The sequence below is a fragment of the Homo sapiens genome, chromosome 7 (genome assembly GCF_000001405.40).
Source record: "Homo sapiens chromosome 7, GRCh38.p14 Primary Assembly".
Lineage (NCBI taxonomy): Eukaryota > Metazoa > Chordata > Mammalia > Primates > Hominidae > Homo > Homo sapiens.
In genome coordinates, this window is record NC_000007.14 from 7,175,717 (window position 1) to 7,194,530 (window position 18,814).

General features: G+C 38.7%; 1 protein-coding gene across 11 annotated transcripts in view, besides 2 other annotated features; it reads left to right on the forward strand.

The window, feature by feature from the left end:
- C1GALT1 (core 1 synthase, glycoprotein-N-acetylgalactosamine 3-beta-galactosyltransferase 1) overlaps positions 1-18,814 on the forward strand; it is a 91,240-nt gene that overhangs the window by 18,340 nt on the left and 54,086 nt on the right. Inside the window, exons 1-4 of one of the 11 annotated variants that reach the window (XM_017012444.2) lie at positions 6,828-7,104; positions 7,710-7,878; positions 9,081-9,142; positions 9,668-9,761. The exons of 2 other annotated variants lie outside the window; for them this stretch is intronic. The gene's annotated coding sequence lies outside the window, so the exon portion shown is untranslated. Of the gene's footprint in view, positions 1-6,827; positions 7,680-7,709; positions 7,879-9,080; positions 9,143-9,667; positions 9,762-18,814 lie in introns of those variants that run through there. 8 more of the 11 variants (XM_017012445.2, XM_047420621.1, XM_047420622.1 and 5 more) reach the window with 8 other exon arrangements.
- Positions 6,568-7,177: a silencer, noted in NCBI's record as "silent region_17961". NCBI's record gives its function as "represses an Ori minimal core promoter by ATAC-STARR-seq in GM12878 lymphoblastoid cells {active_cell/tissue: GM12878}" and the evidence as "EXISTENCE:reporter gene assay evidence [ECO:0000049][PMID:35858748]".
- Positions 7,398-7,617: a silencer, noted in NCBI's record as "silent region_17962". NCBI's record gives its function as "represses an Ori minimal core promoter by ATAC-STARR-seq in GM12878 lymphoblastoid cells {active_cell/tissue: GM12878}" and the evidence as "EXISTENCE:reporter gene assay evidence [ECO:0000049][PMID:35858748]".

Genomic DNA, 18,814 nt, shown 5'->3' on the forward strand with positions numbered 1-18,814 from the left:
TAGCTTAAACAACATAAATTTATTTTTCACACTTTTGGAGGCTAGCAAGTCCAAGATCCACATTCTGGCTGACTTGGTTTCTGCTGAGGGCTTTTTTTTTTCTGGTTTATAGATGATAGGCTTCTCTCTGTGTCCTTACATAATGGGGAGAGAGAACTCTTCCTCTTCTTGGAAGGGCACCAGGTCTATTGGATAAAAGGCCCTACCTTTATCCCCTCATTTTACCTTTATTACCTCTGTAAAACCCCAAAAGGATAGGGTTGGGGGGCTTTCCAAACACATAGAGGTTCCCAGAGGTTTGTATGCCTGGAGACAGCATGGAAGCTACATGCCATTTCTTCCATACCTTACATTATACATCTCTTCTATCTGGCTATTCATCTGTATCCATTATAATAAGTGAGTAAACATAGGTAAAGTATTTGCCCAAGTTCTGTGAGCCATTTCAGCAAAATGGGAATTTGTGGAAAAAGGTCGAGGAAGGAGATGCTTCTCTATGGAGGATGAATAGAAACAAGAAAAGGTATCTACTATAGGTCCACCTTTAGATTTAGAAATACAACTTGAAATAAGAAAAAAAAAATGCCACATTATGCAGCTACACAATTTGTAAGTCAATTAGTTCTTTTCAATAACAGATGCAACATATACATTTATAAATAATTTACTCCTTTGGGATTTCAAACTAAAGAAACTTCAACTATTTCACTTACAACAAATGTTTCTGCTTCTGTTTCTCATCAATTGAGAAAACAATTAAGGAACACTCCTGATTCTTATTCCAGGGAACTAGAGGAACAAAGAGTAACCCCAGGGATTCTAGCCTCGTAAGCTGAGAATATTTTTCTAGATGACACAAGTTCCTCAGTGCACACGTGACAGTCTCTGCTTTCAAGCTAATATGCTGTGAGTCACACTGAGTCCTCTTCCCTCGAGGTTAAATGTATTTCCTAGACTTTTTTTCTTTATTTCTTCCTCTGCTCTATTCTCCATCTTAACCCTATTCCTCTGTCAGTCAATTCAGAAAACAACACCAGCCATTCCAATTGTCTCAAAATCTTGGTAAATTTTGTAAAGATGTAGCTACAAGGAATAAAAACTGTTTAGAAAATGTTCTCTTAGGTTATACAGGGTGGCATTGTCAGGTATTTTCAATAGGAGACGAGAAGCTCTGTCTAAAAGCACAATGTTGCCAGAAGGATTTCCCTGATCTTTGTTTCCTGGTGTCCATTTTTCACTTACTCCCTAATTTAACATAGGAAATGAGGTGCAAGAAGCTCTGTCCCTTTCTTCCCCCTAGAGTTCTTCTTTTTCTTACTCAGGGATCATCCACAACAACAAACAGTCTGATATCTAATTAGGCCAGTAGTTTCAACTGATTTGGGCTCACAGCTGAATAGCTGAAAGCAAGAAAAAACCATACAATTAAATTAGGGACCTTGTATTTAAGGCCATTCATCCACTACATAATCAGGACTTGAGTCTCACACTAAGGCTCTGTCTTACTCATTCTAACATATTTACCTCTCAGGTTAGTCATGCCACAAAAATGTGCATTGTTAATAATTGCCTCATCTCTACCTTTGATGTTCCAGTATATAAAGCCTTCCCCTGTGTGCCCTAAGTTCTGCCCTCTGAAAGAGAAAGACATGTTTTCTGCCATTTATTTTCTTGCTATTGGGTGCAATTTTGCTCTAGGATGAACTCATAAACTCAAATAACCGGTTATATATATGTTTGTTATTAAGTTTGTTTAAGTACCTCTGTCACAACAAAGAGGAGCAGATATACTCAGCCACAGTTACAAATTAATTCATGAAAAAGAAAAAGGAGCCAGTGATAATTATGCATTCTTTTAAAAGAGTAATAAATTTTCAACAGGCTCATAAAATGAGACCTGACATATAAGCTACCATTCTGCCATACTCTTAAATCCAAACTGCTTGCTATGAATGATGCTACTATTTTATACAGTACACAGTAAAATCAGTAAATAAGTTGTCACTTCCTGAAAGGTCTCCATGGTATTCATGTAAAATACTTAATGCTTAATTGCTTAAACATCAGGTAGACCTCATCAGCCTAATTTAATTAAAAGAATGCTAATGCTTTATATGTAAAGCATATTTACATATAATCTCATTGACTGCCTTTTGGGGTACATTGGGATAATTTTCCCCAGTTAGTGGATAGGGAAATTGAGATTCAGAAGGGTTAGGTGACTTACTACAGGTCATCCAGCTAATCAGTGATAAAACTGGGGGCACTGAAAGATAAGTACCTGGATTGGGCTTACCAAAGTGGTGGCTACAAAAAGGCTGGAGCTGTGTTTAAAAGTTTACAGGAGAGCCATCCATTTTTAGTTGACTTTTTTAGGAAATGATCCAGTTTGAAAAGGAGCAAGAATGCAGGAATTCTGCAACAGAGGGCTTTGAGAGAATTTAGATCTGTAGATTCTGATCTTTGGATAGATTACATCAAAGCAGAATTGAACCGCCCCCTTGGTAGACCTGAGAAATGTAGACAGACCTGTTGGCGAGCCATGAAAATGTTGCAGAGAGAGTCATCAGAGGCATCTGTAGCTAAACATGCTATGCATCAGACTGGTCATTTGTGAAGAGAAATAATACAGCCAACTTTGTGAAATAGTATTGCAAGCCCTCTGGGCAAATTTGTATTATGAGTCAATCTGTAATTTGCTTGGAGATGGCAGACAAGATGGCTGTCTGGTTTCAAGACATGGTTTAATTTTGTGTTAACTCATTAATTTTTAAAAAATTAAAAAAAATTGATTGAGGAAAAACAACTGGGGGCAGAATTCAAGTTTCAAGGATTCCGTTGTTCTATTCACCATGTTACTTCCACAACTGGCAAAGTTTAGCTCTCAGTAAGATTCACACTACATCTCTCTATAAGAGATCAAAAAACCCTTAGATAATACAGGTGTCAGGGAGCAAAGATAATCCTAACATTGTATGCTACCTACTAAAGTGAAAAAGATATACTTCATTCAATTATTTATTCATTCAAACAACAAATAATTGAACACCTGCATGTGTGCCAGGCATTGTGCTAGGCTCTATTATATCCAGCTGTATGAGTTACCTATTGTTGTATAACAAACTATCCCAAAACTTAGTGGCTTAAAACAACAATCATTTAAACATTTAGTATCTCACTGTTTCTGTGGCCTAGGAATTCAGGAGCACCTTAGCTGAATGGTTCTGTCTCAGGGTCTCTTTCTAGGTTACAGTCAAGATGTTGACCATGATGCATGCAATCATTTGAAGGCCTGAAGGGTTGGAGGATCTGCTTCCAAGCTCACTCACATGGCTCTTGTCAGAAGGCCTCAATACCTCACCGGTTGTTGGCTAGAAGCCTTAATTACTCACCATGTGAGCCTCCTTATAAGTTGCCTGAGTGACCTTATGACTCTGACATAACAGCTACCTGGCCCCAACAAGTAATCCTAGAGAAAGAATAAAAAGTCTGGCATGTTTTATAGTCTCCCCTCAGAAGTCACATTACATCATTTCCACTACATTCTATTCATGAGAACAAGTCATTTAATACAGTCCAAACTCAAGGTGAGGGGAATGAAGTTTGACCCTTTGAAGGAAGAAGTATCAAATAATTTGTGAACATATTTTAATACTACCATATGAGTTAATAAAATTTAATACACGAAATTTAACTTAATTATTATAAACTGGTGTTAATATATTTGTAAAATGTAGGTATTTAAAGGGAAACTAAGTCTATTAAAGAAGACAATGTTTTAATGTTGTTGCTAGCTTGTTTGCATTTTCTGTCACCATTTTCACCTCATTCTGTCTATTAAAAAATTCTATATATAGTGCTAAATAAATGATGACTTGGCCTATCTTATTATGTCAACTAAGAATTGCATTTGATACTTACAACAGACAATAACAAAATCTTATATAGAAGGGATATAATCTTCCTCACCTAACAACAAATCCAGAAGTGGATAGTCCAGACCTGGTAAGTTGGCCCTCCAAAGCAACCATGGACCTAGGCACCTCTGGTGTCCTACACTATTAATAGTGTCTGTGTGGCTTTTGTTATTATGGGTGAAATATGGCTGTTCTACCTCCAGTATCATGTCCCTGTTTCAGGTTCAAAAAAAAAAAAAAAAAAGGGATGGGTGCATATCAAATGGCTAAAGCGATATTTCTTCCATAAAGCTTTCCTTGAGTCTCCTCTACAGAAATTCACTTTTATTTAATTGATGGTCACATGGCCAGCCATGACTTATGAAAGTCTAGGGGCATGAATATTTTTAACTGGCCACATTGTCACCCTGAAGAAATCAGAGTTCTACTAGTAAAGAAGAAAGGATTTTGGTTTAGACAACTAGTAATGTCTACCGACCTACTCCAACGAGTTTTGACATGCATTATTAAACACTAGACACAAGAGAAACAACAATACTGAGGTTTATGTGTGTTTCAAGTATGTTTCAAATGGGAGAATCTGGTCAGTTTTGAGTCCCACATATAAAGTATATTTTTCAAAGTAACCACAATTTTTATTCTCTAATTGAAAATGTCGAAGAATTGGCTGACATTAATGTCACTTCTAGGAATGTGTTCAAGGAGATAATTGCACAATTGTGCAAAAGCCTATGGATAAGAATGTTCATCAGAGACTTTTTTTATGGTAGTAAAAACTTGGAAACATAAATGTCAATCAATAGAATACTGGTTGGATAAATGATGGTATATCCATTTAACAGACAGTATGCAACTTTTAAAAATGATGTTATTCATGACTGTTGTTCACTGTGCAGATAATACGATCCAATTTATGAAATATTGTATTTATATGTCTATATGTGCTTTTATTCTTAGAGAGATGCCTAGAAGAATGTAACACAAAATTTAAGAAATGGTTATCTCTATATTATGGTATTTGGACAGATTTTAACTTCTTTGCATTTTTGTTTAAATTTTTTAAATTTGTTTGCATAAGCATGTATTGTTTTTATAAAACAATAGTTATTAGCTGGGTGCCACAGCCTGTGCCTGTAATCCCAACTACTGGGGAGGCTAAGGCGGGAAGATTGCTTCAGCCTTCAGCCCAGTTATTCGAGGCTGTTGTGTGCCAAGATCACACCTGTGAATAGCCACTGCATTCCAGCCTGGGCAACATAGAAAGACCATATCTCTTCAAAAAAAAAAAAAAGCTATTTTCAAAGAAAGGCAGGGTGGGGGCAGGGCTGATTTGGTCCAGTATTGTTTCTAGCAAGTAATTTTCCAGGATAAGGCTGTGGCTGACCTTATTTTAGGAAAGGGTTCTAATCTTTGCTCAATGGAAAAAAGTGTTATTCTTTATTAATTATAACTTTTAATAAAATTAAAACGAGATAAGGAGTTGTGAGTTTTGGTTTCTATTTGGAACACTGACCCCTGAAAGAGTTCTCCTTCCATGTTTCACAATGGATGGCAAGACATTGCGGAAAGGTGGAAGGATGTTGCGGAAAGGTGGAAGGATATTGCGGAAAGGTGGAAGGATATTGCGGAAAGGTGGAGGGGGAGGAGGCTGAGCAACAACTGTATACAAGTTGGGGAGGAGTAGAGAATGGACGTAATCATGTAAGGCAGAGAAGTCTGGACCCATGAGCCAAGGAAAGAGCAATAACCTGGACATCAGGATAGCTGCACTTCTCTTCTAACATGGACCTATCAGTTTATCTTTCTGGCCTTAGTTTTGTCATCTGAAAAATGAGACATCTGTATTAGAATCACTACATGTGCTTTATGTTTCACAATTCTTTTGGATATATTGATGCAATGTCCTGAGAAACTACACTACAGCTGAACCTAAGCAAATTAAAGGAAAAATAACAATAACTAATGTATATTATTATTTGTCTCAGGCATTCTAAGTAACTTGCCAATAGGTGGAGGGACCAAGATGCCAGCCCGGGCAGTCTGATTTCAGAGCCCATACTCTTTAACAACCATGCTGTAGAGTACTAAAGAACCGCTTGGATAGGGCATTTAAAGGAAGCAGGGTAGCTTTCCTATTCTGGAACGTGGTCTTGTAGATAATGGTTAACGCCAGTAAAGACTAAACCTTACCCTCACCTCATGACTATTGTGGGGTTGCCTCAACAGGTGGCAGCCTCCTCCCCCTATTCCAAAGACAACTTCCTTATTCAGAGCCCAGCGAAAGGGGAGATAGGTTTTGTTACGCCCCTAAGAAGCTCTTCCGGCCATTGCCCCACAGAACCGAAGTGCTGACAGAACCAAAGACGAAATGTGCCTATAGAAAGCTTTCTGGTATCATTATCTCGGTTCTCAGCTCTTCCTGGTTCTCACATGATGACCCAGCACCCGTATGCATACTTCATCTTATTACTTCCTTTTATTAAGCCCAGAGAGATACTGAGTAAAGAGAGCACGGGGAGAGAACAGAAAAACAAATGAACGGGTTAAGAGCAGGCTACAGGCCACAAGAGTCCTGCAGGGTTAGAGCCTGTACCTCAGACAAAGGTCCTTCAAGCATCCCCTTTCTCGCTCCCTATTGTTACCCTGCTTTCGTCCCGCTCAAGGTCTTGAAGCTAGTGCATAACCTTACAGCAGGATCAGAAATGCGGAGAGTAGCAGACACAAGCCGCAAGGGGGATACAACAAAATCTACTGCTCGTGCAAGATCCGACTTCCCAGACCCCTTCGCATTAGGGCGGAGCGTGCACCCGGCAGCCAATCCCCGCTTCCTCACGTCGCCGTATCCCCGCCCACCGCCCCTCCCGCTCCGCCCTTCCCTGGGGCTGGTGCGGCGGCGGAGACGTCAGCGCCAGGAGACTTCGGGTGGCGGCTGCGCCATAGGCGGGCCACGGCCTGGACGCGCTGCGGGGAGGGGCGGAGCGAGCGGGCGGGAGCGCGCGCTGGGCCCGCCTTGGCCGCCGCCGCTGTGCTGCCGCTGCCGGGGAATAATCTGGGCGGCAGCGGGCGGCCTCGGCTAGCGGCCACGAGCCACTTCTGCGGCTGCCCAGAGAAGCAAAGGTCACCAGTCCCAAGTCGTCCCCCTCTCCGCCCCCCAGGAGGGGCGAGAGGGAGCCGCAGCTGATGTCAGGTATGGCCGGCGGAGGCGCCCTCAGGCTACGGGTCCAAGGTCTCGTCTCCCCTCGCCCTCCCCCCTCTCCGGGTTGGTGGGGAAGCGTGGAGGATGGAACCAAACCCCGGGCGCGGCGGAACAGGTGTCTCGGGGTCAAAGCCGGGCTGGGGTCGTCCGGGCTCCTGAGGAAGGCGCGAGGACTTCCCGCTCCCGGAGCCTTAGCGATCTGCCACAGCGTTCGGCTGCGTACCCGGCCTCAATTTTGTGGACATGTACCCTCCTCTTCGTCGTGGGTCCTTCCCTTGTGCCCGCTCGCGCCCCTCTTCTGCTCGCGCGCTGCCTGGCGGCGCGGCGGGGCGCGCAGTGCGCCCGGACCGGACCACTTAGCGGTCCTGCCCCGCCGGGCCCTCCCAGTCCCTCCTCCCGGGCCCTCCCCGCCCCGCCGCAGACCTGTGGGTCCCGCCGGACTGGGCGCCCAGGTGTTGGGCACCTTCGCCGGGGAGCCACTCGGCTGCCGCGCCGCCTGAGCGCCCAGCGAGCGGGCTCCTTCCAGAGGTGCCTGGAGCTTGCTTGGGTCTAGCTTGGATCATCAGGTTTGTCTGTAGCTGATTTATTTCTTTAAGTTTCCCTGCCGCAGAGTGAAGCAGATACGTGTGTGTTGGGGCATTCGGGGCATGGAGGAGGAAGAAAGGCATTAAATTTTTTTTTTTTGCTTCTGCACCCCATTTTTCCCCAACAAATTGTGATGGAATTAGTAGGTGTTGACAAGTTGTCCATTTGCTTTGAATTTGGGTAAGTCGTACACTCTTAAAAGATGACCATAATTTAGCGCTGTGGATTTATTCTTTCCTGGTCCTTACCGTCTCCCCACCCCCCACCACCCCGCATTTAAAGCAAACAACAGTATCAGCAACAAAAAACCCACACATCCTGGAAAAATTCTCAAGATTTCTAACCTAGTTCTCTATATCCATTGTACATACTACTGTATTTCCTTTTAACGCTTTTTTAAGATAGAAAACTATTGTGCTAACCATGGATTGATTTCATTATGAATTTAAAAGTTATAAATTTAGAACCATAATGAATCAATGAATAATTGGCCGATGTGTAAGGGAGAGAAATATGTTAACTTACTAAAAGTTGGGCATAGAACATAGCTCTGCCAGGAAAAAGTGCGCATAATTTCAAGTTGCTTCATTCTGGTGTGAGTTTGGGAAGTTGGAATCCGAGTTTTTAGAAGGTATTTAGATGACAGCTTTTCACCCTCTTAGGTAAATGGCAGTTGAGCTTAATGCCCATGATGCTGTATGTTCTAAATATTGTATATAGTACACTATACTTTCTACCAGTCTTTATATATAGATGTACAGTTTAAGTGAATATAAAGTTTCAAGTTAGCAAACAGTTAACTCTTCACCTTATGGTAAGTGAAACAATGACTTAGTAAGGAAAGTATGACTCATTTAAAATTCTTCATAAAGAGAATAATTTTTCAGTATTAGTGGAGAGCTACTAAATGCCTCTCAAATTTGCCTGGAATGTGTATTTTTTTGTATCTTCCTACTTAGGATTAAGCATTTTAGAAATATTTTGTGTTTCCTATTTAAAGTTTTTCATAATTATGCTTTTTAAGACTAGACTACGTTGAGTAAATTCAATATCCAGTTATTCTTAAAATTGTATCACAAATTTATTTCAGGGTACACATAATGAGTTCTTGTTTACCTAATAGAAATATGAAAAAGTATGTCACTAGGCACATGCTACTATTTGTGTATTGATTTGTGCTAAAATTAAAATTGCATTATGCAGTTTAACATTATAAGCCATGGTAATTTAGAGTCTTTGTGTGGTAAAATCATTGATTGGAATTTTTGTGACAGTGCAGCTATAAATAAACCTTAAGTAGAAAATGGAAAGCTTGATGCTGAAATTAAATTCAGATAGGCTTAAAAGTTTAAGCTTCCCAATACAACCATCTTTTCTTTTAGAAGATTTCTTAAGATTTGATTAAAGACGCTGATGTACAAACTATAGCAAGGCTGAAAGAAAGGTATGACAAAAATCTTTTTACTTCAAATTCAGTGGGATTAAGTCATTCTTTTAAAAGAAGAAAGGTGGGGAGCGGGAAGGAGACTTGTTCCATAAAATGAGAAGTTAGCCTTTTATCTTAAAATCTGGTTAGAGAGGAACTCCAATGTGTACTTAAATTATTTTGCAGCTAATTCAAATGTCCAAGGGGAATATATATGCCAAAATCTGTAATATGTGAGAATAGGAAGAGGGAGAAAAAAAATATATAAAGAAACTGGTGTTTGTGATTTAGGGAAGCACATAAGAAGGTGGGGGAAACTGAAAGGAAAGTCTAAATAAATTATCTAGCACCTGTAGTATGTGCTGCCTTGCACATTGAAGGGGCGTGTTGGGGGCAACGAGAGGCAATATTAGGGAGATTCTGGAATGGGAAACCTGTATATTAAAGCACATTTAAACGGCTAGATGTTGGATAATAGGCAGAATTTGAAATTAAATACAGCTTGGCATAGTTATTTGCATTCTTGGTCATTGTATTTTCTAGGGCTGCGGTAACAAAATACGACAAACTGGGTGATTTAAAACAACAGATTTATTGTCTCAGTTCTGGAGGCAAGATGTCTGAAATCAAGATGTAGGTATGGCCATGCTCTCTCAAGGTTCGAGGGGAGAATCTGTTCCATGCCTCTTAGCTTGTTGTGTTACTGCCAATCCTTAGCATTTTTTGGCTTGCAGCTATGTCACTCCAGTCTGTGACTCTGTTATCACAACATAATCCCTGTGTGGCTCTGTCTTCAGATGGTGTGCTCCACTTCTTGCAAGGATACTAGTCGTATTGGATTAAGATCCACCCTAATCACCTCATCTTAACTTGATTACATCTGCAAAGACCCTATTTTGAAATAAGGTCACGTGCAGAGGTACTGGAATTAGGACTTCAACCTATCTTTTGTGGGGACACAGTTTAACCTGTAACAGTTGCACGGTTTATCTTTTACATCGTTCAGTAAATGTTTAGCATTATAGACTGAATCAGAGGCTATAGTGGAAACAGGATGGGACACTTACATTTATTTACATATATCAGTGATGTCTTAATCTGTTTTCTGTTGCCTCTAGCAGAATATCTGAAACTGGATAATCTATAAAGAAAAGAAATTTATTCCTTACAGTTAGGAAGGCTGAAAAGTCCTGGTTCAGGGGGCCACATCTGGTGAGGGCATTTGCTGGTAGGGACTCTGCAGAGTCCTGAGGATAGCACAGGGCACCACATGGTGAGGGGGCCGAGCATGCTAGCCCAGAACTCTTTCTTTCTTTCTTTCTTTCTTGTAAAGCTACCAGTTCCTTTCCCATGATAACCCATTCATGAGGGCTGAACCCTTAGTACCCAGTCACCATTTAAAGACTCCAGCTCTCAATACTGCCACAGTGGTGATTAAGGTTCAACATGAGTTTTGGAGGAGACAAACATTCAGACCACAGCAAGTGCTTACTATGTGCCAGGTCCTGGAGATAAAACAGTGGATAGGCAAAAATCTCTGTCCTCATGGAGCTTACATTCTGAAACACGGGTTCTAAAAATGTGGTCCCTGGATCTGCAGCATCATCATCACCTGGGAAGTTGTTAGAAATTGAAATTTTCAGGCTCCATCCCAGAACTCTTTATTTAACTAGCCTTCCAAATGATTCTGATGGAGACTCAGGTTTCAGAACCACTGATCAAGATGGAAAAGAGACAGTAAACAAGATGAATAAGTAAAATAATATTTGATATTAATAGGTGCTGTGGGTAAGCATAGGGTGGCCAGTGAAGACTCCTGAAAAGTAAAGACCTGAAGGAGTTGGAGAGTGAGCCATATGAGCACCTGGGTGCGTGTTCTTAGCAGAGAACAGTTAAGTGTGAAGACCCTGGCACGTTTGAGGAATGACAAGCAGTTAGTATTAGGTTCAATCTATGAAATTGCTGCTGTTTGTTCATTTTTGACCTACAAAAACACCAAATACTGGGGAGAAGAGATCAGAAAGAAAGGGGTGGAGTAGGATGCAGATTGTGGGTAGATCCTTGTAAGGTTTTGGCTCTCTAAGATTAGGAAGACGGGAGGGTTTTGAGCAAATGAGTGATGTGATCTGATTTCAGTTTTAAAAGGATCATTGTGGCTATTGGTAAAAATGGGCCAAAGAAGCAAAGGCTAAAGGAAGGGGAAAGTTGGTTAGAATGTTGTTGGAGTAGTTAAAAGACAGAGAGGTTGCTCAGACCAGGGTGATAGCAGTGGAGAAGTCAGAAGAGGTACAAGACTAAAAACGCACAGTAAATGGTTTGAAAAGTAAGTTTTTTTCATCCCACTCCAGTTACCCAGTTGTCCTCCTCAAAGGCAATTAGTGTTAAAAGTAGTCTTATCTCTATTCTTCCTGAGATTTTTTTTTTTTTGAGACGGAGTCTCACTCTGTCGCCCAGGCTGGAGTGCAGTGGCGCGATCTCAGCTCACTGCAAGCTCTGCCTCCTGGGTTCACGCCATTCTCCTGCCTCAGCCTCCCCAGTAGCTGGGACTACAGGCACCTGCCACCATGCCCAGCTAATTTCTTTTTTTTTTTGTATTTTTAGTAGAGACAGGGGAGATCTTTTATGTAAATGTGAGAAACAGTTTTAACAAATTAGTGGAGAGGTTGTTACCTGGAAACATTTAGCAATGTCTACAGACATTTTTGTTTGTCACAACTAGGGGGAATACTACTGGCATCTAGTGAGTAAAGGCCAGGGATGCTGGCTAAATATCCTACAGAGGACCGGACGGCTTCCACAACAGAGAGTTATCCAGCTCTTAATGTCAGTAGCGCCAAGGTTAAGAAACCTTAGTTTAATGGGATTTACAGAGGTTGGTGGGAAGCAAGTGTTGTAGTCAGAGAAGACAGTAGGAAGAGGAGCTGACCATATTGGGAACCTTTCAGTAACTGTAGACAGTTCAGGATTGCTGAAGCAGACATAAATTATAAGGCACAGAATAGCAAAAGACGAGGCTGGAAACCTGGACAGGCTCTAGGTCATAGCCTTTATTTATATATCATGTTAATAAAAAATGTTTAGTTTTTGTCTTGTAGGCAGTGGAGTTCCGTGAAAGGATTCATGGGGTGACATGGTCAGCTTTTCATTTTAGAGAGCTCATTCTGGTGACGGGGTATGAGTTAAAGAGGGATAGCACTTGAGTCAGAGAGGTTAGATATTGTAATAGCCTGTGGGGAGAGAGGAGAGTCTGAAATAGGATAAATACTAGAAATGGAGAGGAGACAATGGATTAGAATAATATTTAGGAAGTAATGTTGGCAAGACTTGGTAATTGGATTTGGGGTGAAGATAAGGGAAGCATTAAGAATATCTGTGTACTTTGTAGTTTAGATAATCCTGTGGCTCTGAGTGAAATAGGAACCCATTGGTGAATAATTTAGGTAATTACCAGTAATTAAGGTAAAATGAGCAGAGGAAAGTAATGAGTCACTTTGGAGGTGTTGAATTAGAGATGCCTATGGTCCAGGTGGAAGTATTTAGCAGGCATTTGTGTATGTGAATCTGAAACTTGGAGAAGTCTGAAAGGATCAAGAGATCATTTTGTTTGACAAGTGTGGAGAAATTAGTGGACTTTAATTTTTATCATATTATTTCACTCTGTAGATAAAAATTGCCTCCCTTTATTTAATTTTTATCAGAAAAGTAATGTGTGTACCCGATGCAAAATTAAAACATCAAAAGGTTATAAAATAAAAAAAAATTTGTCCTTCCTTGCTCATGCCACCCAGTGCTAGTTCCCAGAGATAGCTCTTGTTAAATATCATATGTATATATATCTTAACAGATTTTAAAATATATACAGAAACATTTAAAAAGCCAAGTGAAATCATACTAGAAAATATTTCGGTACATTGTCTTAAAAAATAAACCTTTTATCTTATACAGTTGTTAAAATGAATGACATTGTGTTATGGATAAAATAAGTGAAGGGGTAAATTAAAGTGCAGACTAACCGATAAGCATGATCTCTGATGTAAATTAAAAGCTGAACATACATATGTGATGATATAGGCATTACCCAACGATACGAAAGCAGTTACTTTTGGGGAGAGATAGTGGTAGAGATGGTAAAGAAAATTTACTCTTTTCTGTCTATGATTTTCTTTCATTTGTTTAGGTTTGTTCCTTTTGTTTTCTTTACATTTTCTGATGTTTAAAAAAATACCCAGTATACCTTATTAACAATAAAAAGTAACCTTTGTCAAAAGCACAAAGATTTTCCCTATCAGCACATGTAGATCATTGTTTTTAACAGCTACTACTATTCTATGCTATGGCTCTATCTTTTTTTTAAAAAACTGGTTCCTCATCAACAGACAGACGTCTTATGGTTATGGCTGTCGAGCATCTTGGCTGACTTCTATGATTATATCTGTAAAATAAGTTTCTGATCATGAAGTGATATATCAAGGCATAATTAGTTAAAAATTTAAAAAGATGTTGTGAAATGCCCTTCCAAAAGACAGTAAAAGTATGTATTATGAGAAAGAATACAGGACTACCAGTTTTCTTGTATCTGTGTCAATAACAGCTGTTAATAAACTTTAAAAGTTTTGCCAATATGTTAGGTTAAAAATAATATCTCTTCATTTGATTTACCTTTGTGAGTGAAATTTGAACATCGTTGACCATTTTTTACTGTGAATCTTTTATTTTCTTTATCTGTTTTTGTATTTGGTTAACTATCTTTTTTATTATTTATGATACTTTTTGGTTCTTTTTGCTGTACATTAAAAAAATATATTTCATAAAGAAATATGCCCTTTAACCAGCGACTTCATTGCCAGAAGTTTATCCAATGAATAAACTCATAGTGTTTTAATAGTCACAGCTTCTGAGTGTGGGAGAGATCTCAATTCGTAATATCAAAATGCAAAAATATATTTTCTTCCAGTTTTGTTTTAATTCCATTTTCTAAAATACTGAAATCTTAGAAACATTTGAAATTGTTACTAGAAAGTAAGGATCCAGCTGGTTTTGTTTTTTTTTCCCCAAAAGATTAATTAATTCAATACCATTTCTTCAATAAGCCACCTTTTTCTTGATTTGAAATGCTGTTTATTATGTATTAAATTTCCACATGAATTTTTGTTTTCCATAGAGTCTTTATTTCAACCTGATGAAGTCCCTTTATAAGATTCATCTGGTAGAGACCACCAGGGACACATCTGTAGGCTGACAAAGGTTAATTAGCTTGCTGCAGTGAAGGAGACTTGCACAGCAGAGGAAATGTCAGCATTTCTAAAGAAGGAACCAGGGTTATTATAGGATTTTGGAGAATGGTGGAGTTTGGATAAAGTTTAAACGCAACAATATTTGATAAGCTTAAAGCACGGCAAGACTGTGTGTCAAGGGTTAATAAACATCAGGCCTGGGCTGAGAAGCTGACTCAGGATTCTGATTCCCTGGAGACTACAAAATCGCGATACATGTGGAATGTTGTGTCTGGAAACCCCTTATCTGAAGCTCTGAGTTGCAAAGTGAGGTTGCTTCTGTTTCATAATGATCTACCATCAGTGCGAGAGTGGGATGTTCCATTCTCACTTTATAAAATTTCAAATAACATAGTTTCTGACAGTCTGATGTAGAGAACAGTTTCTCAGCACATTGTCTTTAGTATTAACAAATGCATTTTTTTAAACAGACTGAGAGTTTGTTCAGCATAAATACCAAATTGTTTTCATTACCTTTTTTAAGGTAATATATTTTTATATGTAGTAAACTTTGTCTCTTCCCCTTCCCCAGTTCCCCTTTCAAGAGTTTTCCAGTGATACTCACCTATTTTTCCAGATAACATTTAGAATAATTTTTGCCACATTAATTTTTTAAAATCTTTTTTATAACTTAAAATTGATCAGATCAGATTAGTACACCCCTTCCCACAATGCCCCTTTCCAGAATTTCCCAGTTACACCCACATGTTTATTGGTCCAAAGTTTTAGAATACTTTTTGCCAAGTTATATAATTTTTTAAAATCTTCCTGTGTTTTAGCTGGGATTACTTTACATACAGGTTAATTCGGAGGAAATCAACATCATTATCATTGATACCTTTTTTTTTCCAAACTTTTTAAAATTTTGGTAAAATACATACAAAGTTTACCATCATAATCATTTTTAAGTTTATAGATCAGTGGTATTAACTACATTTATATTGTTGTGCAACCATCACCGCTGTTTATCTCCAGAACTCTTTATTTTGTAAAACTGAAGCTCTATATCCGTTTAAACGATAGCTCTCCATTCTCACCTTTCCACAGGCCCTGGAAACCAAAAGCCTACTCTGTCTCTGATTTTTCACTACTTTAAAGTACTTCATGTAGGTGGAATTGTGCATTATTTGTCCTTTTGTGATTGGCTTATTTCATTTAGCAAAATGTCCTCAAGATTCATTCATTTTGTAGCATATATCAGAATTTCCTTACTTTTCAAGGCTGAATACTATTCCATTGTATGTAAATACATTTTGCTTGTTCATTCATCCTCAGTGAACACGTGGTTTGCTTCACATTTTAGCTCTTGTGAATACTGCTGCAATGACCATGAGTGTACAAATACTTTCTTGAAACCCTGCTCTCATTGGGTATATATCCAGAAGTGGAATTGCTGGATCATATGGTAATTCTATTTTTAATTTTTTGAGGAATTTTCATACTGTTTTCCATAGCAGAAATAACATTTTACTTTCATACCAATAGTATACAAGGGTTCCAGTTTCTCCACATTCTCTTCAACACTTAACAATTTTCTGAATTTTGATGGTAACCATTGTTATGGGTATAAGGTAGCATCTCATTGTAGTCTTGATTTGTTTTGCTAATGATTAGAGATGTTGAGTATCTTTTCATCTGTTTATTGGCCATTTGTGTATCTTAGGAGAAATGTGTATTTGAGTCTTTTGCACATTGTTGAATCAGGTTGATTTTTTTTGTTTGAGTTTTAGGAATTTTCTATATATTTTGGATACTAATCTCTTATCAGATAATACGATTTGCCTGTATTTTCACCCATTCTGTGGCTTGCCTTTTACTGTTGATAGGGTCTTCTGGTGCACAAATTTAAAAATTTTTCATCAAATCTAATTTGCCAATATTTTCTTTCAGTGACTCTGCCTTTGTTGTCACATCCAAGAAATCATTGCCAAATATAATGTCATGAAGCTCTTTTGTTCAATGTTCTAAGAATTTTATAGTTTTAGGTCTTATATTTAGGTCTTTGATCCATTTTGAGTTACTTTTTCTTCTTTTTTTTTTATTTCAATAGGCTTTTGGGGAACAGGTGGTGTTGGGTTACATGGATATGTTTTTTGGTAATGATTTTTGAGATTTGGGTGCACCCCTCACCCAAGCAGTGTACACAGTACCCAATGTGTAGTCATTTATCCCTCACCCCCTCCCACCCTTTACTTCAAGTTCCCAAAGTCCATTGTATCATTCTATGCCTTTGCATCCTCATAGCTTAGTTCCCATTTATGAGTGACAACTTACAATGTTTGGTTTTCCATTCCTGAGTTACTTTACTTAGAATAATGGTCTCCACCTCCATCCAGGTTGCTGTGAATGCCATTATTTCATTATTTTTTATGGCTGAGTAGTATTCCGTGGTGTGTGTGTGTGTATATTATACATACCACATTTTCTTTATCCACTTGTTGATTGATGGGCATTTGGGTTGATTCCATATTTTTGCAGTTACAAATTGTGTTGCTATAAATGTGTGTTCAAGTGTGTTTTTCGTATAATGACTTCTTTTTCTCTGGGTAGATACCCAGTAGTGGGATTGCTGGGTCAAATGTTAGATCTACTTTTGGTTCCTTAAGGAATCTCCACACCATTTTCCATAGTGGTTATACTAGTTTACATTCCCAGCAGCAGTGTAAAAGTTTTCCCTTTTTACCACATTGATGCCAACATCTATTATTTTTTGATTTTTTGATTATGGCCATTCTTGCAGGAGTAAGGTGGTATTGCATTGTGGTTTTGATTTGCATTTCCCTGATAATTAGTTGTGTTGAACATGTTTTCATATGTTTGTTGAACACTTGTATATCTTCTTTTGGGAATTGTCTATTCATGTCCTTAGCCCACTTTTTGATGGGATTGTTTGTTTTTTTTCTTGCTGATTTGTTTGGTTTTTTTGTAGATTCTGGATATTAGACCTTTGTCAGATGCATAGTTTACCAAGATTTTCTCCACTCTGTGGGTTGTCTGTTTACTGATTATTTCCTTTGCTGTGCAGAATCTTTTTAGTTTAATTAAGTCCCATCTATTTGTCTTTGTTTTTGTTGAATTTGTTTTTGGGTTCATGGTCAGGAAGTCTTTGCCTAAGCCAATGTCTAGAAGGGTTTTTCTGATGATATCTTCTGGGACTTTTATGGTTTCAGGTCTTAAAAGATTTAAGTCTTTGATCTAATCTTGAGTTCATTTTTGTGTAAGGTGAGAGATGAGGATCCAGTTTCATTCTTCTACATGTGGCTTGCCAGTTACCCCAGTACCATCTGTTGAATAGGGTGTCCTTTCCCCACTTTACGTTTGTGTTTGCTTTGTCAAAGATCAGTTGGCTGTTAAGTATTTGGCTTTATTTCTGGGTTCTGTATTCTGTTTCATTGGTCTATGTGCCTATTTTTATACCAGTACCATGCTGTTTCGGTAACTATAGCCTTTTAGTTTAGTTTGAAGTCGGGTAATGTGATACATCCAGATTTGTGGGTTTTGGGGGGTTGTTTTTGTTTTTGCTGAGTCTTGATTTGGCTATGTGTGTTCCTTTTCAGTTTCATATGAATTTTAGGATTGTTCTCCCTAGCTCTGCAAAGAATGATGGTGACATTTTGATAGGAATTACATTGAATCCGTAGATTGCTTTTGGCAGTATGATCATTTTCACAATATTGATTCTACCCATCCATGAGCATGGAATGTGTTTCCATTTGTTTGTGTCATTTTCAATTTCTTTCAGCAGTGTTTTGTAGTTTTTCTTGTAGATGTCTTTCACTTCCTTAGGTATATTCCTAAGTATTTTATTTTTTTTTTGCAGACATAGTAAAAGAGTTTGAGTTCTTGATTTGATTTGCAGCTTGGTTGCTGTTAGTGTATAGCAATGCCACCGATTTGTGTACATTAATTTTGTGTCCTGAAACTTTACTGAATTCATTTGCCAGTTCTAGGAGCTTTTTGGATGAATCTTTAGGGTTTTCTTGGTGTATGATCATATCATCAGCAAACAGCAACAGTTCGACTTCCTCTTTACTGATTTGATGCCCTTTATTTCCTTGTCTTGTCTGATCCCTCTGGCTAGGACTTCCAGTACTATGTTGAATAGAAGTAGTGAGACTGGGCATCCCTGTCTTGTTCCAGATCTCAGGGGAAATGCTTTCAACCTTTCTCCATTCAGTATAATGTTAGCTGTAGGTTTGTCATAGATGGCTTTTATTACCTTAAGGCATCTCCTTTCTATGCCAATTTTGCTGAGTGTTTTAATTATAAAGGGACACTGGATTTTGCCAAATGCCTTTTCTGTGTCTATTGAGATGATTATGTGATTTTTGTTTTTAATTGTTTATGTGGTACATCACAATTATTGACTTGGGTATGTTAAACCATCCCTGCACGCCTGGCATGAAACCCACTTGAT